The sequence below is a fragment of the Homo sapiens genome, chromosome 19, assembly GCF_000001405.40.
Source record: "Homo sapiens chromosome 19, GRCh38.p14 Primary Assembly".
NCBI classification, from domain to species: domain Eukaryota; kingdom Metazoa; phylum Chordata; class Mammalia; order Primates; family Hominidae; genus Homo; species Homo sapiens.
The window spans coordinates 12,997,207-13,017,544 of NC_000019.10; the positions used below are offsets into that span (position 1 = coordinate 12,997,207).

The 20,338-nt window shown below is 56.8% G+C and overlaps 1 protein-coding gene and 1 long non-coding RNA gene across 4 annotated transcripts in view, besides 1 other annotated feature; one reads left to right on the forward strand and one right to left on the reverse strand.

Moving 5' to 3' along the window:
- The window catches only part of NFIX (nuclear factor I X), a 103,322-nt gene that overhangs the window by 1,732 nt on the left and 81,252 nt on the right, over nt 1-20,338 (forward strand). The gene's annotated exons all lie outside the window — the stretch shown is intronic.
- Nucleotides 13,563-14,106: an enhancer, noted in NCBI's record as "H3K4me1 hESC enhancer chr19:13121583-13122126 (GRCh37/hg19 assembly coordinates)". NCBI's record gives its function as "activates a minimal SCP1, AML or CMV promoter by ChIP-STARR-seq in primed H9 embryonic stem cells {active_cell/tissue: H9 hESC(primed)}" and the evidence as "EXISTENCE:reporter gene assay evidence [ECO:0000049][PMID:30033119]".
- NFIX-AS1 (NFIX antisense RNA 1) lies at nt 16,682-17,947 on the reverse strand. Its single transcript, XR_001753870.2, has 2 exons — nt 17,000-17,947; nt 16,682-16,775 (listed from the first exon to the last, which is right to left on the reverse strand). It is a non-coding gene; the product is annotated as an NFIX antisense RNA 1 (long non-coding RNA).

Here is a 20,338-nt window from a genome sequence, read left to right on the forward strand (position 1 = left end):
GGCGAGGGGTTTGTCGGGGTGTGTGTCAGCTGTGGCTACACCACACTCCTGTATGCACAGGTGAGAGTGTATGCAAGTGTGAATCAATCTAGAGTCTGTGTGTAGCCCCTGTGGGCCGGCCATGGGCAGGCCTGCGTGGCATGGCCGTGTGTGTGGCCCAGGGAGCGGGTTTTCCTGTAGAAAGCAGGCCCAAGTACGTGTTGGCGAGGGCGCACCGGCATGCATACATGTTGCAGTGTGCATGCAGGTGTGAGCAGGCACCCTGAGCACCATGGCAGTGTGGGGAACCCCCACATCTGCACCTCCAGTTCCACGGCCACTCCATGTTGGGCGCCCCTCACAACAACTGCCTACCCAGCGGTGTCTGAGCTGGGCCTCTTTGGTGCTACACTTGGCTGGGCTGTGTGGCCGATGTTTGGGGCCTAGTGGAACCAAGACCCCACGCTCAAGCAGCCCCTTGCCCACCAGGCTGCCAGCCCGGCCTCCCATGCCAAGCACGCCAGACATCTGAGCCTGCTCCCCCATGGCTTGGGTGAGACACCAGCCCCTCAGATTTCACAGCACCCTGGGAGAGAAAATGCCTGTGGATACGCCGGTGACATGGCTAGGAAGGGGCTGGGGCGGCTGCGAGACCCAGGGCGATGGCCGGTGCTTGGCTCTGTGTGATTGTAGGCCCAGGTTACGACAGTTCCAGTGTGCCAGGATGGCTGGAGAGGGGAGTGGGCATGGTGTCTCCAGGCTGCCAGCCCTTCATGGTGGGCAGGGAAACCCTTCAGCTCTGGGCAGGTGGCTGCTGTCGGCTGGTCAGTGGGGTCTGGCCTGCCCCTCCCTAACAATCACATCTCTGTTTTTACAAATCTTTCTGCTTCCATGGTTTGCCCCGCTGGTCTCTGTTTTTATGACAACCTCTTTCCTTTGCTGTCTTTTTCTCGGTCTGTTTTTATCGGTCTCTGGTGTATTCTGCCCTTTTCCATCTCTCTTTCTCCATCTCTGTCCTTTTGTATGTCTCTGACTGTCTCTGTCTCTGATTCCAGTTTTGGCCCCATCTCTGCTCCCCCCTCCACTGGCGTCTCGGACTCTCTCTCTCTCTGTCTCTCTGGCCTGCCTCTCTCTCTTTCCCTCTCTCTCTCTCCCTTTTCTTTTTTTCAAACCAGAATTGGCTTCGATTTTAAAGTCAATAAATGATTGAGCAGGAACGAGCTTGGAGCAGCGGGGCCCTGGCGGGGAAAGGTACTGTGGGCGAGGGGGAAGGGCGGGGGGAAAAATCTCCTTCTAGAAAAAGCATCGAAATTCAGGGCGGCCGGGTGGGGCGGTTCCTGGAGCTGCTGGAGTCCATTGTAGCCACAGTCCTGAGTCTCAGGCGGAGAGAGGGGTGGGGGGTGGATGGATGGACCCCCATCCCCATCCCAACCCTGCCAAGAAACAGAGACACAACCAGGATGTGAACTCACGTACACCACCATCACCGCCAAGATGGGGATGTAAGTGTCCTGTTCACACCGATGTCCAGACCCACGACCATCGACGAGCCTACAGACCTACGGACACAGGAAACCGACGACTTGTGTTCACACTGTCACACACACCCATTAACACACACGCACCTCTTGAAATGGGACACGTATATTGGTGTAGGCTTAGCGACACAGCAGTACCTCTTTGACGCACGTATGGACACAGGAAACTGTGGACTTGTGTTCACAACCACCCCCAGCGCACACATAAACACTCACAAACCCCTCGAGATGATACAGATAGCGACGAAGGCACATGGAGACCACGACACCTCCCAGACTCATGGAGCCCTGAGCACATGCTTGGATACAGGTAGACACAAATGTGTGTTCACCCCCACACATGCTCACATGGACCCAAGGACGGACAGGCGGATGGATGGATACACATCTTTACACAGAGACATAATGCAGTTGGCTCGCTCAGGTGTGTACACAAATAACTTTTCTTTTTCTATTTTTTTTTTTTTTGAGACGGAGCCTTGCTCTGTCGCCCAGGTTGGAGTGCAGTGGCGTGATCTCGGCTCACTGTAACCTCTGCCTCCCGGGTTCAAGCAATTCTCTGCCTCAGCTTCCCGAGTAGCTGGGATTACAGGTGCCCGCCACCACGCCCGGGTAATTTCTGTATTTTTTAGTGAAGATGGGGTTTCACCATCTTGGCCCGGCTGGTCTTGAACTTCTGACCTCGTGATCCACCTGCCTCGGCCTCCCAAAGTGCTGGGATTACAGGCATGAGCCACTGCACCCGGCCACAAATACCTTTTCAAACACACACACACACACACACACACACACAAATATGCACCAATGCGTGCTTCCCCCTCCTTGCCACAGGGATAAAAAGGCAAACATGCCGACATTTGCTGACACACACAAAGACATACATGGCCGCACACACGGATACACCCGCTCTCAGACACGCAGCGACCTACGCCCATTTTCCTGGCCATACAAGCAGCCGAACGTTCCTGTACTTCTGTATCTGCATAGCTCCCCCAACACTCCTTCCATGGGAGGGGGATGGCTGGGGCTTCCCTGATGCCCCCTTCCCCCAGCTTTCTCTCTGGGTCACTCTGGCCACCCCTCTGTCCCTGCGAAGCTATAGCTCTCTGTCCCTGCTCCGGCCTGGTGCCCTGTTTTCATGGCACTTGGCATTTTCTCTCCGGCTCTGGCCCTGCCTGATTCATGCCCACTGCTGGGGTGGGAGGTGTGCCCAGGTGTGGGCCGGGATGGGGTAGCTCATGAGATGAGCTGGGGCTCCGTGAGATGTTTTGATGCTGGGCCGAGCTCAGAGCCGAGGGCTCTGCCGGGAACAGGGTGCTCCAGTCTCTCTAGGGCCTGGAATGTCTTGTGTAGCCTCAAGAGCTCCCAGACGGAGGCTGCGGGAGCGGAGTCAAGGGCTAGGCTTTGCCGTCAGACAGAAATGGGTTCGAGCTCCAGCTCTACATGTTCTAATCTTGCGACCTGAAGCACAGGATTTTCCTGGCCTGTAAAATGGGCAAAAACCAGTGTCTATCTCTTGGGCTGTACTTAGGTTCAATGTGGTGCCTGGCACATAGTGTGTGCTCCATAAATGGTAATTGTTGCCAATTGTTGGTTGTCAACCTCCCAGACCCTCCCAGCTGAGAGAGGGATGCCTCTGAGGGGTAGAAGACAGGATCGAGCACCTCCCAACCATAGATATCCAAGTGGACTGCCTGGAGGAGGAGGAGGCAAGAGGAGAGTTTGGAAGGATGAGAGTTTGCACATGGCCCAGCTCTTTTACCTTTGGATGGGGGCCTGTAGGCCAAGCAGAGGGTGGCACAACTTCAAGATAGGGGAGAGATGGTGGGGGAGAGTGGGGGGCAGGAGGGGAGAGACGAGGCCTCCACTGTTCCATGAGGACCAGATACCCTGGTTGGGGGCCCTGAGTCCTGGTATAAGAGTATGTGTGCACGCATTCATCCAAATGTATGTGGGACAAAGAGACCCGGTGCATCTAGATGATGACTTCAGGGACGTCCCCAAGCTCCAGAACTTTCTGTGTCTGCACCTGGGCGTTGTCACCTGGACCCGCCATGGAGACAGGACATATGTGCAGGACCCTATGGTGGGCACTTGGCTGGATCAGGGCACATTGCGGGTGGGAGCAATGCTGGGTGTTTGGCCGTGGCGCCGTGGCTGTGGGCAAAATGCCCCCGTGGTTGGTGTGTTGACTGCCGTCCTCCCCATCTAACCCACAGGGAGCCTGGCCTTTTAAATCTGCTGAGATATTGTCTCCCCCACCCCCATGAAGCTGGAATCTGGGGACTTGCTGGACCAGAGAGGTAGGGGAGGCTGGGCACTTTCTCCAACACGGTGCTGAGAATGGGCCTTCTGTCCCCTCCCTCCCAGCTGGGGTGGGGAAAAGGAGGGGGGTGTCTTAATTTTCTTGCCCCCAAAGCCCTGGATGTGGGGGCAAGTGGGCCAGGAGGACAGCTGTGAGCCACTATCTGGGTTCTCCCAGATCGGTGTGCATGTTAATCGGCATGTCAGGCCTCAGAGCCACCATTTTCCCGAGGATGTCTGTGTGGCAGCGTGTGTCTGCCCGGGTCCCTCTCCATGCCTCTCCATGTCTCCCAGCGTCCATCACTGGGTGCTACCTGCATGTGACTCCACGGATCATCGCACGCCCTGTCTCTTGTGTATTTGGTAGTGGGGGTCGGGGAGCGTGCCACCATGCGTGTCAGTGTGCCGGATGTAGTCTCTGTGTCACGGTGGCGCTGCGCACGTCAACGGGTATTGGTGTACCGGTCACCATCTTTGTATCTGCGCTTTGTATCTGGGGTGACAGTGTCCCAGCGACATGCGTCACATCTACAGCAGTGTTTTTCTGGGTGTCTGTGCGTCACGGCAAAGAGTGTATCCGTGTGTCTCACACACGTGTTGGCCTGTCCGTGTCAACTTGTGTCCACATACGTGTCAACGCACGTGTCTCCAGTGTCATCACCCTCATATCACTGTGCCTCCTGAGCTTGTCCCCGTGACAATCACTGTGGGTCTCACCCCACGGGCGCCTCTCCTGGGCATTCCCTTGGCCTCCGAGCACCATGTGAGATGCCTGCTATGGCGGCCGGGCAAGCGGCTGGGAGCGGGCTGGCTGCTCAGTCCCTTCCCATGAGGTTGAGCGGCCGCAGTGGCCTTGCTGGGGGCCCCGCCCGTGCCCCTGGCCTGGCGTGGACAGAAGCCCGTTGTGCGGCAGCGAGGTGCGGGCGTGTGTTCGGGCCGCCCACAGGCCTCCCTCTGTCTGCCCGGCGCACATTGATCTTGGCTTCTGCCTGTGTCCGTTCTAGCCTGGCCAGCTGGGTGTCCGGCTGTCTCCGTGGGCCTGAGCCCACTATCCCCGCTGCCCCCACAGCCAGGCAGGCCCTGGGCCCCACACCCCTGGGCCACCCGCCATCCCTCCGAGGCTCTGAGGGCGCGGATTTGGAAACTGAGGTCCCCCCTTCTTTCCCCCTTTCTCTCTCTCTCTTTCCTCCCTCTCTCCTCCCCTCCTCCCCTCCTCCCGCTCCCTCTCTCCCTCTCTCTCTCCTCCTGCCAAACGCGTCTTGGCTCCGTCTGAATATCTCTCCTCCTCGATTTTTGGCTCCAGCTCTGGGCGCGTTCACTAAAGGAAGAAGGGCTAGCTCCCCAACCCCCCCTTCCTCACCACCTCCCCCCTCCCGAGGAGCCCCTCTGAGGGCGGGAGTGGCCTCGTGCAGGGGCCTGGGCCCCCTGAGTGGGCTTGGCCAGGGGGGCACAGGCCTGGCGGGTGAGGGAACAGGGTGGACAGGGCCTGGCAGCCAGAGGGAGGCAATGGGCAGGGTGACTGAGCTGCCCGGCGGGGCGGGCGGGCAGGGAGGGGTCGGGGGCACGGAGCTGGGGTGTCTGGCTTCTGGTGGGGCTGGCAGGCCTCTGTGAGGCGCAGCTGTGCCCAGAACTCCAAGTTGCGTTTGCCACCACTACCGATGTGGCTGCGCCAGCCAGGGAGGGGAGGCGGGTAGCGGGCACTGCGGCGCTCTGCAGCCAATCGGAAGCCGGGGTTGCACTGGGGAGCTCTCCCCCCACTGGGCCCCACCCTGAGGGGAGCCGGGGGTGGTGGCCAGCAGTGGGCAGGGGGCAGTGCCCACCACCATCGCCAAGGACCCTGCCCCCTCAGCTGAAGCTCAGTGCCAGCCTTCCTGGCACAGATCGGGCAAGAGCGGGGATCTGTCTGTCCCCACCTGAATCTGTGTGAGCCAAGCTGGAGGAAAGGACAGCATGGAGGTGCACCCGACCCCCCTGGGCCTTTTAGTCCAAGGCAGGCAGGAGCTAGGGATGGGTTCCAAATTATCCAGGTGGTTCCGTCCAAATATCGGCTTCGGTCGAATCATCTTGGGGAGTTGGGGGGGGGTTTATTCCGGGTCCATCTCACACAAAGTCACACACTCTCACTGGCACATGCGGGCACAAAGAATCACGCTGACACACACTGGCATGCTGCACCTCCCTCAATCAAACAGACACAGGCGTCCCCATACAAAGAATCTTGCCCTCACTCACAGACACCTTGAGGCACCCGGCCACACCCGAACACATCGATGCGGCATTACACACTCAGGGACGTGCATGTGGGTGCAGACACACGGGACACGCGCAGTCACACGATCACATGCCATGAAGCACACAGCACAGACACAGGCTCTGCCACCGTCAAATGCAGCCCCACAGGCACAGCTAGAAACACACAGCACACACACTCAGTCATAATGTCAGTGCCCAAAACACACACATGAGCACCGATACACCCGCACATGCCACCAAGCACACAGGTACATGCACATGCATGCAATAACACGCTCTCAGACACACAAAACACCCCACACACTCCCTAACCCAGTGTCACCCACCAGGAGTGATTTCACCCATTGGGAAATGTCTGGAAACATTTTTTTTTTTTAGAGACAGACTGTCATCTGTAGCCCAGGCTGGAGCACAGTGGTGCGATCTCGGCTCACTGCAGCCCTGACCTCCCAAGCTCAAACGATCTACCCATCTCAGCCTCCTGAGTAGCAGGGAATACAGGTGCATGCCACCACACCTGGCTAATTTTTAAATTTTTTTGTAGAGACAGAGTCTGGTTATGTTGCCCAGGCTGGTCTTGAATTCCTGGGCTCAAGCAGTTCTCCCGCTTCACCCTCCCAAGTAGCTGGGACTACAGCCGAGCACCACCATACCCAGCTAATTTTTAAATTTTTAGTAAAGATGAAGTCTGGCTTTGTTGCCCAGGCTGGTTTTGAATTCCTGGGCTCAGGTGATCCTCCCGCCTCGGCCTCCCAAGGTGCTGGGAGCCATGAGCCACCATGCCCAACCTGGAATCATTTTTGGTTGTCACACTTGTGGAGGGGGTGCTATTTAGTGAGTGGAGACCCAGGATGCTGCTCAGTCCCCTACAATGGAACCCCTCAACCCTCGCCGACCACAAAGAATGATCCAGCCCCAAATGTCAGTAGTGCCAAGGTTGGAAACCCTGCCATGCATCCCCAGATACACAGTAACACACACAGGCACAGCTAACCCTTGACACTCATTACACATGCACCCACATACACAGTCACACCCAAACAAGACGCCAGCTGACAGTGTCACACACACACACTCTCCCTCACTAGGACCCAGGCATTGTCGCATATATACCCCATTTCCCCTGCCAAACCCAGGCACAGTCGGCGTGCCATGTACACAGTCCAGTGTTACCCCAGCACACAGGGACGAGAGCCACACCCCCACACATATTCGCACCTGGGCCACACCTGGCAGTGGTTGGAAATGGTGCCTGAGAGCTGAGACCTGCCCTGGTGGCACCTCCCCTCTGCTTGTCAGCCACAACCAGCTGTCTTTGCGCAGCAGCTACAGCCACCCCAGCTTCTCAGGATAGAATTGGGAGCCCCAAATCCCTGCCCTGGTTTGTAGAAGCCTGGGGTGAGACAAAGCCTGGAAAAACCACATGCCCATCCCTGCCCAGGACACTCGCAGTCTTCTAGACTCCGTGGTCGAGGGCTCCACCCTCACCTCCTTGCTCCTGGCAGCCACCGAGAGAAGGGATGGGGACAAAGCTAGGTTCTTTTTTTTTTTTTTTTTAAACAGTCTCACTCTGTTGCCCAGGCTAGAGTGTAGTGGTGCAATCTCAGCTCACTGCAACCTTGGCCTCCCAGGCTCAAGCAATTCTCATGCCTCAGCCTCCCGAGTAGCTGGGATTACAGATGTGCACTATCACACCTGGCTAATTTTTGTATTTTTAGTAGAGACAGGGTTTCTCCATGTTGGCCAGACTGGTCTCAAACTCCTGGCCTCAAGTGATCCGCCCGCCTCGGCCTCCCAAAGTGCTGGGATTACAGGCGTGAGCCACTGTGCCTGGCCAACAAAGCTAAGTTCTGAGACTCCTGTCCTCCGTGGGGCTGTCTCACTAATCCTTTGGCCTTTGACTCCCCAGTTCTGACCCCAGAGAAAGAAGAGACAGCGGTCAGCAGAATGGTAGAAGAAGATAGGATAATAGCAAAATAAATGTTTGTCCTAAAAATCGTAGCAACAGCTAATGTGAACTGTGTGCTTGCTGCGTTGCACCCTTGCTAAGTGCCTTCCCAGCTTGTCTTCTTGAATCCTGTGTTCAGCAGGTACTGTTATTAGGAGAGTGGGGCCTGCAGAGCCAGCTTCCTGGGTTTGACTCCTGGCTCTGCCACTCACTAGCTGTGTAACTTCAGGCAAGTTGCTTAACCTCTCTGGGTCTCAATTTCTGTATCTAGGAAGCAGGGCTGTGGTAAGGATCTGAGGAGTTGGTTCACAGCACACGCTTTAAAACTGTGCTTGATGTGAAAACCTGCTTTGATTTTATGGATGAAAAACCAAGACTCAGTAGAGGTATCCAGTGCTAGGGTCAAGGGCGGGGAGCTCTTTCTTCAAGATCGTCACCACCCTAAATCCTGCCGATGGGACAAAATTGCAGCTTGTTCTCTGGCCTTTCCCAAATTTCAAAATGGGTCTGCACACCCCCACGCCCCCATTTGAAACGTGCCCTAGTGGTTGGCCCTTGAACCTTTCTTACCACTCTGACCTTTGGATCTTCTTCCATCCAAGGCTCAGAATAAAGGTGGATGGTGGTCTCACCCCCTCTGCACCCCTGCTGGCCAGGCTTGCCCTCACCCCCGCAGGTCCAAACATCCTCTCCCACACCTTGCTGGGCACCCAGCCGGAGCTCAAATGCTGGGGGTGCAGCCGGGAGCCTGTGCATTCCTTCGACAAATATTTACCAAGCACCTCCTGGGTGCCAGGCTCTGTTTTAGGCCCCGGGGGCTCGGCAGGGAGCAAAATCTGCAAAGATGCCAGCCCCGGTGGGAGGGCAGACTGTGAATCTGATAAACAAGGGAGTGTCCAGTCCTTGAGATGGCGCTAGGTGCTGTGGGAAGAACAGAGCTGGCCGGGCCCTCGGGAGTGCTGGGCAGCTGTGGTTTTAGCAGAGGTGGGCACGGAGACCTCATGGTGAGATGATGATTTTGAACGCTGCCTTGCTATAGCTCAAGTGCAGCCCACCAGGCCCCTTTCTCTCTCCAGGGGGCAGACTGGAGGTCAAGGGTGTGTGGCTCAGCATGGCATGCCCATCATTTGCCCAGACCATGTTGCCTGTCATTTCTTCAATCTGAGCTCATCTATTATCCATATTTGTGGATATGCCATACGGTGCCCGCCCAAAATCTGGGGACAAGATGGCCGAGGCCTTTCCTTTACAGAAACTGGGGCTTGATGGGCACTGGGTATTCGCAACCCTGCTGCTCTGAGCTGGGGGATGGGGCAGGGGCAGCTGGTGGCCCAGAGTGGCACTTCCACCTGGGCCCCTCAATTTAGCTCCCCCGGGGCGGGCTGGGTTTATTTTTACCCCAGCCTGTCACCCTGGCAGTACCAGGCTGCGCCATCTTTGCAGGGTCTTGGGGATCTGCCCACAGCTTGGGGGTATCAGGCTTTGTCTGTTGGGTTCCCCAACTCCCACCAGGGCCCCAGATTCTCTCCACCCCCAAAGCTCCAGGCTTGAGAGCTCTGGGCTGGGGCCCGGCGGGGTCGGCACTGCAGGCTGGCAACCACCGTGCCCAGCCTGGTGGCATTTGGTTTGGCGCCCTGCCTGCCTGCCACCCCCACCCCATGCCCGGGCAGAGCCGAGCGGCTGCTGCTGCCAGTCTCCATTTCGAAGCTTGAGGTGGGGGTGGGGAAGTGCTGGGCGCCTCCAGGCCCCTGCTTGTCCCGTGCCACCTGGGGATCATCCCCCATGCCTGTTCCCTGGAAGGGCCGGGCTGCCTCTTCCGCTGCCCCTTTGCAGCCTGGAGCTCAGCAAGGATGCCCGCCTGGCTTCCATCTTCCCGGTTCGCTCCCTCCCTTCCTCCCCCTCTCGCCTGCTTGCCTGTAATGGCTCACCATTTTTGGCATCTCTTCCCCCTCCCCCCCCATAGGCGCCAACCTCACTTCCAAACCCGCCGCCATCGTTGGCTCTCTGGCCTTCTCTGCCGCCTGGGGCTGGGACCTGGAAATGGGAATTTGGGGGTGGGGGCCGGGCCTGTGGACATCAGGGGCTTTCTGCGTGCTCGTGTGTATCTCTGGGGTTGGGGGGCACATGTTCTAAGCCAGCTCGCTCCATCCACCCCTTCATTTGCCTCAAGCTTGCAGAGCAGGACTGCAGCAAAAGTGACGACCCTCCCATTTCTGATTGCCCTGCACCTGGTATTGGCATCTGGGCCACCAGGGGGCTAGGGTGGGCATCTCTGCCCAAGCCCAGGCCCTGGCATGGCAAGGGCAAGGCTTCATCTGTGGTGTGCCCCAACCTCTCCCTTTCCCTAAGTTCCCCCCAAGGTTCCAAGATTCCTGCTTCCACTCCCCAGAGCTGGAGTGGGGGAACCAAGCCTCGCCTTCGGTACTTGTGTCCCCAGATGGGGCAAGGGACTTCGGAGGAACCGGTTTAATGCCCTCCCCCCCACCCCACACCCGCTGCCCGCGCCTCTCTCGGCACTAAACAAAGTTTGCTAAGTAACTTCAAATGTTATTTGAGGACGGCCTGGCCTCAACCCAAGGCGGCCCTGTGGAAACTTGTTTTTCGCTGCCGAGGCTGCAAGTATCAAAGACACACTTTCGGTGGGGGGGTGCTCCAATACCACTCCCCCCTCTGTGGCAGGGGCTGGCCCTGAATGGACACACAGACACACAGAGCAGACACACATAGGCCTGTGCCTACAGAGACACAGACATCATCCTGTGGCCTAAACACCAGGTACAGCTGCAGGACAGCCTTGGAGCATGGTACACATAATACATACAACAAACACACATGTTGACAAGTTAAGGAGGTAGGAGGGGGTGACAGGGCACTACCCCTCAGCCCATGGAGTCCTGGGATTCTTCCAGCTGGTGGGGTTTCGCCATGTTGGGAAAAACGTACGGCTCCGATCCTTGGGGTCCTGTATTCTCATGACTCCAGGGCTTGAGGGGGTGCTGGGATGAGGCCCCCAGCCTCAGTTTCCCCATCCACAGAGGGACACTATGGACTTTTCAGCCCAGCCTGGGTTTTTTCATCCCCCTGGCAGGGCTGCATCCCTAAAGGTGAGTCCCTAAAAGTGGGCTCTGAGCACAGGGCCTGGTATACAAGCAATGCTCCAGTGTCGGCAGGCATTTCTGCCAGTCCTGACCCCATAAACCTGGTGTGTTTTCATCCTGATTGGTGGCCCTGACCCCAAGCAGCTTGGGGTTCTCCGGGTCCCGGGAGGAGCCCATGCTGACGTTACTCGCTTGCTCCAATCTTCCCGTCTCTGTGATTTTCTCACTTTGTTCCTCTCTTTCTCTCCTAGCTTTTCTTGATCTTTCCCCACATCCCTCTTCTTCTTTCTCCAGGTCTCCGCTGGCCCTGCCCAGGCCTGGAGCTCAGGGAAAACGTGGGAAACAGGCATAGGGTACGCATCCCTCACTGAAGCCAGCCAGGCCTGCAGTCCTCCATGCTCTGAGCCCCCTGATGACCCTCCTTTGGCCCCCCTCCAAACCCCAGCAAGAAGCTGGAGGCTGGGTACTTGAGCTGACACAGTAGGTGAAGGAGAGGCTCTGTCACAGGGTCCTCTGAGACCCATCACCTCCAAGGTTTGCAAACAGGTGGAGCCCCACTGAATCCGATGGAAAAGCCAAGGCCCAAGAGGAAACCGGAGTGAGTTCCTCCTGCAGTTCCAGAGAGCCTCCCCATCCTCGCTGTAGCCAGGTCCTCACCGAGGTAGATTTGCGGGGGTCTCCCAGTCCCAGTCCCACACACTGCCTCATCCCCACTCACAGTCAACGCCCGCAACACCCCGCCACCCGCAGTCTGTCGCGCAGTGACAGCCTGTCACAAGCACCGCCGCACACCGGCACAATCTGTCGTCCACGCACAGTCTCACACACAACCTGTCACACACGCACACACACACACAGCGGCACAGTCGCACACACAGCCAGCCTCACGCGATCACACCAAGCGTCACAGCTTGTCACAGCCATAGATTCCTCACAATAAAAATAACAGCTACCGACTCCAGAGCAATTATGCCTGGGCAGCGGGTGGGTGGGGGGAAGGCGGGCATATGTGACCTCCTGTGACCCTCCCAACACGAGGCAGGTATGAGTAACCTGTTTTACAGATGAGGAAACAGAGGCCGCAAGGTCAAGTGCCAAGGTCATGGGGCTAGAAGCAGGGTGGTGGGGATTACCCAGCCAGATTCCCAGGAGTGAGCAAGACTTAAACAGGTTCACTCCAGCTTTTCATCCCCCTTCTGGCCACCTGAGGCTCCTCCTTCTGGCCTTCCCATGGGAATTCCCTTCCTATTCCCCAGTTCTAAGAAGCCCAGAGCAAGAAACAGGAGGAAGAGGCTTCCTGATTCCCCGCTTAAGGGTGTTCAAACTGTCTGCCCCTGGCTGGGAAAACAGGGCCACGCCCTCCCCACCAAATGCTACTTGGCTCCAAGTGGGGTACTGATGGGCACTGAAAAACCGATGGGCAGTGAGGGCTATCAGAGGGGCAACTACAAGTACAGTAGCACTAGGCTTGAGTGTCTGATGTGTGAGTGGCCATGTGGACGGCTGGAGTTGGTCCGCAGTGGTGGCAGCTTGTGGTCCTTTGGGGGATTTGGTGGTAGAACGGGGCCGGGGGTCTTCAAAGGCAGAGAAGTCTCAGGACTTCAAACCAACAGCCTAACCCTGTCCACACAGGTGGAGTGGCCCACCTTGGGCCCGGGGGGGCCTCCAGGAGCCCCCTGGCCCAGGCAGGCCCCGCCTCCACCGCCCCAGGGGCCCTCCGAGGTCCAGGGCGCTTCCTCCTCTGCAACCCGCTTTTCCCTTGCTTTCCCCTTCTTTGTTCCTCCCCCGCCTGCTCCTGGGGCTTCCCCCATTGGAGTTGCCTCGGCCAAAACCAACAGGGCTCCAACGACATCCCGCCTTGGCCTGCCGGGCGGGCGGCCGGCCCTGCCCCATGGCCCGCTCAGGGGCCAGATCCGGGCTCAGCTGGGTCCGGACGGCGGCCCTCGCGCACGTGGTTACTCCCAAGGCGTGCGCAAGCACTCGCACACCCCCTGGCCCTGCGGCCCCGAAGGGGACCTAGGCGCGCTCATGCACGTCCCTGTCTGACACCCCAGCCCGGCAACTCGGACGTGCGCACGCACATAAGCACGCTCTCGTATAGTTGCTCCCACCTGGGTCCGCAGCATGCCCTTGCCCGGCGCCCCCAGTCGGGATCTCAGGCACCGAAAGCTTATATGCGCACCTAGGCCTGACATCCCAACGACACTGGCTGGCGCACTTACACCTATAACATGCCCCTATCGGGCACCACATGGGGGTCCCTAACACAAGCATTCACTCCCCTGCTTTCCCTCCGATGGAGCTTTCGAGCACAGGTACTCGAGCCCTGCGCCCCAACGGGGAGCTCCAGGTGGGTCCGTGAGCCCGCTCTGGTGCCCACACACATGGCTCCAGGCCCACGCGGGTACACACCTCCCCAGCCTGCACACGCGTGTTTCACATGAGTCACACACCTGCCAGGCCGCTCAGGGCATCTGGCTTCAAAGCGGCATTCAGGTTGTTGCGGGAGCCGGCAGGGAAGGGAGGCCTAATTCCACCTCCCCCATCCCTCTCGGAACACCCGCCTCCCCATATGTCCCTGGGGCACAGGTGGGACATCCCAGAACTGCCGCTGCCCAGTGGCGCCCCTGCATGTGCTATATTTATATTTGAAATTTGTACCTTTATATATACTTTTTATATGTAAGAACCGCTCCCCCCTCTTCCCGCTCCACGTTTGTACTTGGATTTTACCACCCCCACTAGGCTTCGACCCAAACCTGCAAAAACCATTTCGCCAGGCAGGGATGTAGGGGGAGGCGGGAGCAGCCCTCCCCCTCTCCACTGCGGACGGACATCCCACGTTCTTAAAGACCGGGGACCCCCCCTCCCCCAAGGGCCGGACTGCAGCTCCGAATCCCGCAGCCCCAGAAACACAATCGCGGGGGTGGGTGCTGGCGGCGAGACGTTGCTTTTTGGTGTGTGTTTGCTGTTACCGCTTAAATTAACCCTGAGTGACGGCTTGCAATTCGCCACAAAGAGGCCATTTAATGCCCCCCACCACCCCACCTCGGGAGAAATTTCCACTTGCCCCCGAGTCCAGCTCGGGCCGCACGCTACCCGCCCTCCAGGCCTTCGCTCCAGGTGCGCCCGGGCGGTGGAGGCGAGTTCCCTGCGCGCATCATGGACTTCAGGAGTGAGGGTGGGTGGGTTTTGGAGGGGTGGGAGCAGAGGCAGGGGGGTGTGCCGGGACTCCCCAGACGCTCCACTGCCCAATCATAGCTCTTTGATATCCCAGCCCGGCTGGAGAAAGTTAGATGGTACTCCAGCGTCTCCTCCGGGTCCCCGGAAGAGAGAAGCTGGGCTGCACCCCATGTTGGCACGAACACTCCCTCCCCAGTGCCTCTGTGCATTAGGTCGCGTGCCTGTACGTACCCTACCTGAGACCGCCCCTCCGCCAAGTGCGCCCCTCGACAGGTGCCCGTCGCCCACAGGCTCCTTTCATTGTAGCCTCCCTGGAGGTTCTCAAGGCGCCTGGCATTTCCTGGACCCGCTGCAACTGACTCAAGACTGGGGGGAGGGGGCTCATGGAGGTAGAGGTGGTGGGGAGGTCTCCCCAGGGCCCAGGCAGGAGGAGGGAAGGTCGTGTGCTTTCCATGTCGCGGGCAAAATGGGTGCTGACGGTCACTGTCACTTGCATCGCACACTGAGGGGTGGGAGAGGACAGCACATGCCTGGACCGTGCAGGAGGCCCAGAACCGGGGCGCGAAGGGGCCGCGGGACACGAGCGGGCCGTGCGCAAAGCCTGGCGCGCGCGTGCGCAGCGACGAAAAGGCGGGAAGCGGCGCTTCGAGGCCCCGGATGTCAGACGCGACCTGTGTGGCATGTACCAGGCTGGCTCCGACGACGGAACCGCCATGGGTGCTGAGTGGAGAGTGGGGACCGCGGACCCCGGGGGCAGGTGAGGGGAAACTGGGAGCATAGGTCTGGCTTTCGACCGTTTGTGCCGCCAGAGTCTTCTCAATGATCCCTCCCAGGCACCGTAGGCCCTCTAGTGGGTCTGGGTGGCGTCCTCCCGGCCCCTCGCTGCTCAAGCGCGGCTCCCTCTTGCCGGGGCGCGGCCTGCCCCTCACAGTGACCCCCCCGACCCACCCCCCAAAAAGTGACCCCGCGCTGGTGGGCATGGAGGACTGTCCCAGTTCACCATTTGCTGCGTCAAAGGCCGCCGCCAAAAGGGGCTCCGATGTCGGCATTTTTGCCTTAAGGCTAGTTTGTCCCCCAGGCGCGCGGGGGTTGGGGGTTCAGGGCCGCCTGTGCCTCAGTTTCTCTCCTCCTGCGCCCATCCTGACATCCGACGGAGGATAATGCGCGTTGGAGGGCTTTGGCCGTGAATGCGATGTTGATGATTGCTGTGATTCTTTGGGTGCTTGGGAGAGTTTGGGGTTTAACTGCCCCCAAATCCGAGGACAGCTTGGGGGCGTCCCTTCGGAGAGGATCTCTCCGCGTCGCATAGTGAGCGTCGTCATCTCTAGACTACCCCGGTTTCCGAGGAGCCTCACCTTCAATCCCCGAGCCTTCTCTTTTGGGGGAGTAAAGGCGGGGAAATTTACCAGGGGAGATTTTTGTTTCCAGGGTTGGCTGGGTTTGGGGGATTTTGTCCTCCAGCGAGCGCGGGGAAGAAATGTGACTAAGTGGCAGAAAATGCGCTTTCCCTTTCTCTCTCTTCTGCCTTCGGGCCGCGGGGAGTTGCGCAGACTCTAAAAAAAAAACCTTTAAAAACCCAAAACCTCCCCTCCAAGTCCCTTTCGATCTACGCCACCTTCCCTCTCAGGGCTGATTTCTTGAATTTGGGGCGTCGAGGCCTCCCCACCCGTTGCTACCAGCCCTTTTGCAGCACTTCCTGGGCAGGCCAGGGGAGAGGACGGAAAAGTGAAAAAAGAACGTGTGCGCCCAGCGGACCCGACTTAACCTGTTGGTGGAGGAGGAAGCTGGCGTCGGGCTGAAGTCCCCCGAGCCACCCCTGGAGCCAGAGCAGCCCCCGAGCATTCAGAGAAAGCCGCCCGTCCCCAGTCCCCTCGGAAGCCGGTCATAAACCCGACTTCTCATCACCCGAATTACTTAAATGAGCTTTGATGGTGTTAGGTCCTTTTCCACGTGCGGATGACTCAGCCCGCTGCAGCTGCGCCCGGGGAGGTGACCCTGGGGCAGCGGCTGACCCTGCTGCGCCCTGTACCCTGGACCCAGACGCGGCCCATCCCAGCAGCACCCCCCGCCCCAAGCTCCCAGACCACACTTAGCTTTTTTTTTCCCCCCTTACTCTTCGAGTCTTTTTCCTCTTCTCTAAAAACATTTTTTTTAATTTAAAGGAGTTTTATTACTTCTTTTTTTTTTATAAAGCATGTGAGACAGAGGCTGAATGGTAGAAACAGGCTGTTAAAAAAAGAAAAATACGTGCCGGTGACGCTTCGTGGAGCTGGCGAGCCTCGCCTGTCCCGCGACTGAGCTTGCGGTCGCCCCGATTCTCTAGTAGACCCTGGCGTGGGGCACCTGAGATCTCCGCCACTGAAAAGGCGCTATAGAAATGCAAGGAATTATGATTTTAATAAAATTGTCTCATTTAGGAGCGAGCTTCTGCGCTGCCTCTGTCGTCGGAGCCCGGGTTTGCCACGGCAAAGTCTGTAATCAGAGAAAAATACCAGCTTTGTTGAGGGTTAGAATATATCATTGGCTAATGTGTGTGGTTTTCTTTTTAAATAATGCTAAGCATTGGAATAATTAAAGAGTGAGAAATAACTCGTCTCTCCTCTCTCCTCTCCATTCAGCATTGTCTTATTTAAGGGCGGAAAGCGCGCTTTTCGGCAGAGCTGGTTAGTTTTTAATGCGGGCTTTTTTTTTCTCACCCGCCGTTCCCTCCGCTCCGGTCTGATTCGCAAATCCCCAAACTGGCACAAACCGGGAAACTTGCGGCCGGCCGTTCTTCTCCCCGAGTTGGAGACAGCCCTCTCCTCTTCCCTCCCCCGCCTCTGGGCCCTGACCCACTGCCTGGTTTGCGCTAGAGCCGTTTAAAAAAGAAAGAAAGGAAGAAAGGAGCCGGGCTCTGGTACCCCGATGCCAGCCGAGGGCGCGTTTCCCAGGCGGCGGGCTGGTGGGAGAGTCAAACCCGGGTGTGGGGAAGCAGCTTCGCTGCCTACTCTGCATCCTCTCCCCTAAAAAGAATCAAGTATTTCTAGAGATCGCCTGCTCAGAGGGCTCAGATCCCTTGTCATATTTTAAATTAAATTGAACAGTTCTTTCTTTCCAGCCCCATATGCAATAGGAAGAGAAAATGCAGTCTTGGAGAGCCCGTCTTGGCAACCCTGTGCCCTTGATAGAAGAGAGAGCTGCCCACTTGGGCTGGGCCTGGCATCCAGCCCCAGAGGAGTGCTCTTGCCACTGGCCACAGGGCCTGGATTTGGGGAGGAAGAGCAGGGTCCAGGGCCAGTGGCTGAGCACGGCCTGGAGAGATGTGGGAGTTGGGGAAAGGACTTTTTATCAGGGCTGCAGAGGTTCGGCTCTGGGCTGGTGGTAGGGGGCTGGTGGTAGGCGAGGTGGCTGCGGTGGCCCTTCCGCCAGGTGTGGGGTAGACCGCTTAGAAGGGAAAGGGGATCCTGAAGTGCCTGAGGAAGAAACAGCAATGAGAAAGCAATGGGAAAAATGGGCAATAAATGGGCATAGGGGTTAGTGCCCACAGGCGCTAGTGGCTGTGAAGTGCCTTTGAGGTGCAAAGGGAGCTTTTTATGTATTTGCTTCAGGTGTTTTTCATTACATGTGTTTCCCTTTTATTTTCCTTGTTATTTGGTCCTTAGACTTTTCAGCGATCCCTTGTATTCGTCTTTTTACATAAGCAGAAACTTTTTTTTTTCCTCCTTAGAGAGATACTGTGGGAGGTATTTTGCCTTCAGTGCTTTCTCTTTCCTGCTTTTTTTAAAATTTAATTTTAAAATTATAAAGTAAATTTAGTGCTAGTGAAAGTGAGGGGGGAACCAGCTGGGGCTGGAGCCAGGGAAGGGGTAGGCAGAGGCAGGGTTCTGCCTCCCTTCCTGAGGCAGCCCCGCCCCAGGACCCTAGGCCCAGCCTGGTGTCGCTTGCTCACTCTCTCTGCTCTCTTCTCTTGATGCCATTCTACTCCCCTCACCTTCCTGCAGGGTTCTTGTGGACAGGGATGGGGACAGTGTATCCCAGTGGGTGCCCATTCTCCCTTTGGGAACCCCTGGCTCTGCAGAGTCATTTTCCTTCATGACCTACATACTGAGGCCCCCCATTCCCTGCCTGCCAGGCAAGCAGGGCGAGAGGAGGGGCCCTTGCTCCCCTCAGACACTAAGGCTGTTTGGCTTTCAGCTCGGCGGGTCCTGTTTGTCCCCCATACATGCCCTGTTAGTCTGCTAAACCCGCTGCACAGTTGGTTGCCCTGTTGATGGGATCAGAGTTGGGCAGGCATAGAGAGATCACACACACACACACACACACACGCACACGCACACGCACTCTGCAGCAGTGAGGATGAGAGGGGTTTCTATTTGCCACACATTTTTGTGGTCACATGAATAGCACACTCTGCTCTATAACACGTGTATGCACATAGGTGTTTGCATTTGATGATACTGGTGTGACAAGGAGGTATTTCTAAGCCATATAAATTATGAGAACTGTATAGCTTAAAAATTTAAGGCTTGTTCAGCGGTGCTGAAAATGTTTATTTCTTAATCTGGGTGGGGTTACATGGGTGTGTTCACTTTGTGAAAGTGTATCAAGCGGCCTAACTTACAGTGTGTGCACTTTTTATACCTGCCTTGCTTCAGTTAAAAAGTTTACTTAAAAAAAGAAGCCCCACTCTCAAAGGTAAAGAAAAACCTGTGCATTACAAAATATAATAAAAATTTAAATAAAAATTTCCTCCAGCCTGCTTTGCTTAGTCCTTCCTGCTAGGAATGGTGGGAGGGCTTGTAAAAAATAGCGGGCTGATATAAAAGCTAGCAGGCATGTGGTCCACGAGGCATCCTGACCCGTCCACATGTGTGGAGTGCCTGAAAACTGCCTACAGACAGGTATAGAGGTAGGATTTTAACATCTCAGGGCTAAAGGATAAGAAATGGTGAGGAGTAAGTTACTTGCCAATTACATTTTGCTGTCAACATCTGGAAAGCAAAATTGCAGCTGTTCTCTCTGCCCCTGCCCCCCGCCCCCGCATTGCCACCTCTTCTTTTTTTTCTGCACACTTACATTTTTTGTACGCTTGCCATTTATACTTCGGTTTTCTGCACTGTTAAAACAATTCCATGGCTCTGTTCAAATTGGGTTGTTGGGTTTGAGTTTTTTTTTTTTTTTTAATGGATCTTGTAGTCTGACAGTATAATTTTTGGAGGGATTTATTTAAACAGGCCCAGGAGCCATTGATAATCCCCTCCCTTTTCTTTCGCCCTCTCTGTCTTCCCAGAACTGCTCAGGCCAGCAATGAGGGGGAGGACGCTCGGCAGCCCTTGCCGGGCTCCTTCCTTTAGCCTCTGCTCCTCCGGGCAGGTACTGACAGCTTCGCCCTCCATGGCCCTTCTGTGGTGTTTTTGTTTTCTCTTCGCCCCCCAAAAATATTTGAACCAAAAAGCCTCTTTTTTTTTTCCTCCACCCACAGCAAACTGAAAGGACTAGTGAACCGTGATTCAACAGAGCGAGGGCGCCTCTTTTCTTCCTTAGCATTAATTAACTCAAGTTCGTTAGGACGTTGGGTCTGTCGCCCACAGTTTTCTCTTGTGTGTGCTGAATCGGGTCATAGAGGGAGACTTCCCGTGCAAACAGTTTGTGTTGGAGCTGAAGGACGCAGAGGGGGAGAGAGGGTGAGAAAGAAAGGGAGCCGGGGAGGGACGGAGCGTGGCCGAGGGGTGGGCATGGTCCGAGCTCCTCAAAGCACCCCCGGTGTCATTCTCTGCAGGGGCTAGACACCAGGGAAATGTGGATTCTTGGGTTTCCTGGGCAATGATCCTGATAATAAAATAGTTGCGGGAGCAATACATTTTGAGGAATTGAAAAATGACCTCTTTCTAACTCCTAAAATTGTACATTTTGGGGTTCTGGCCACTGCCTGTGGCTGAAGCAATTGCAAGAAAGAGGTTCCCTCAGGACCGAGGGGTGCCAGGCCGATCTGAGGGCAGGTGGTGAGGAGAAATCCTTCCTTGCTCCTTGTCTCTCCTGTGGCGGGGGAAACAGAA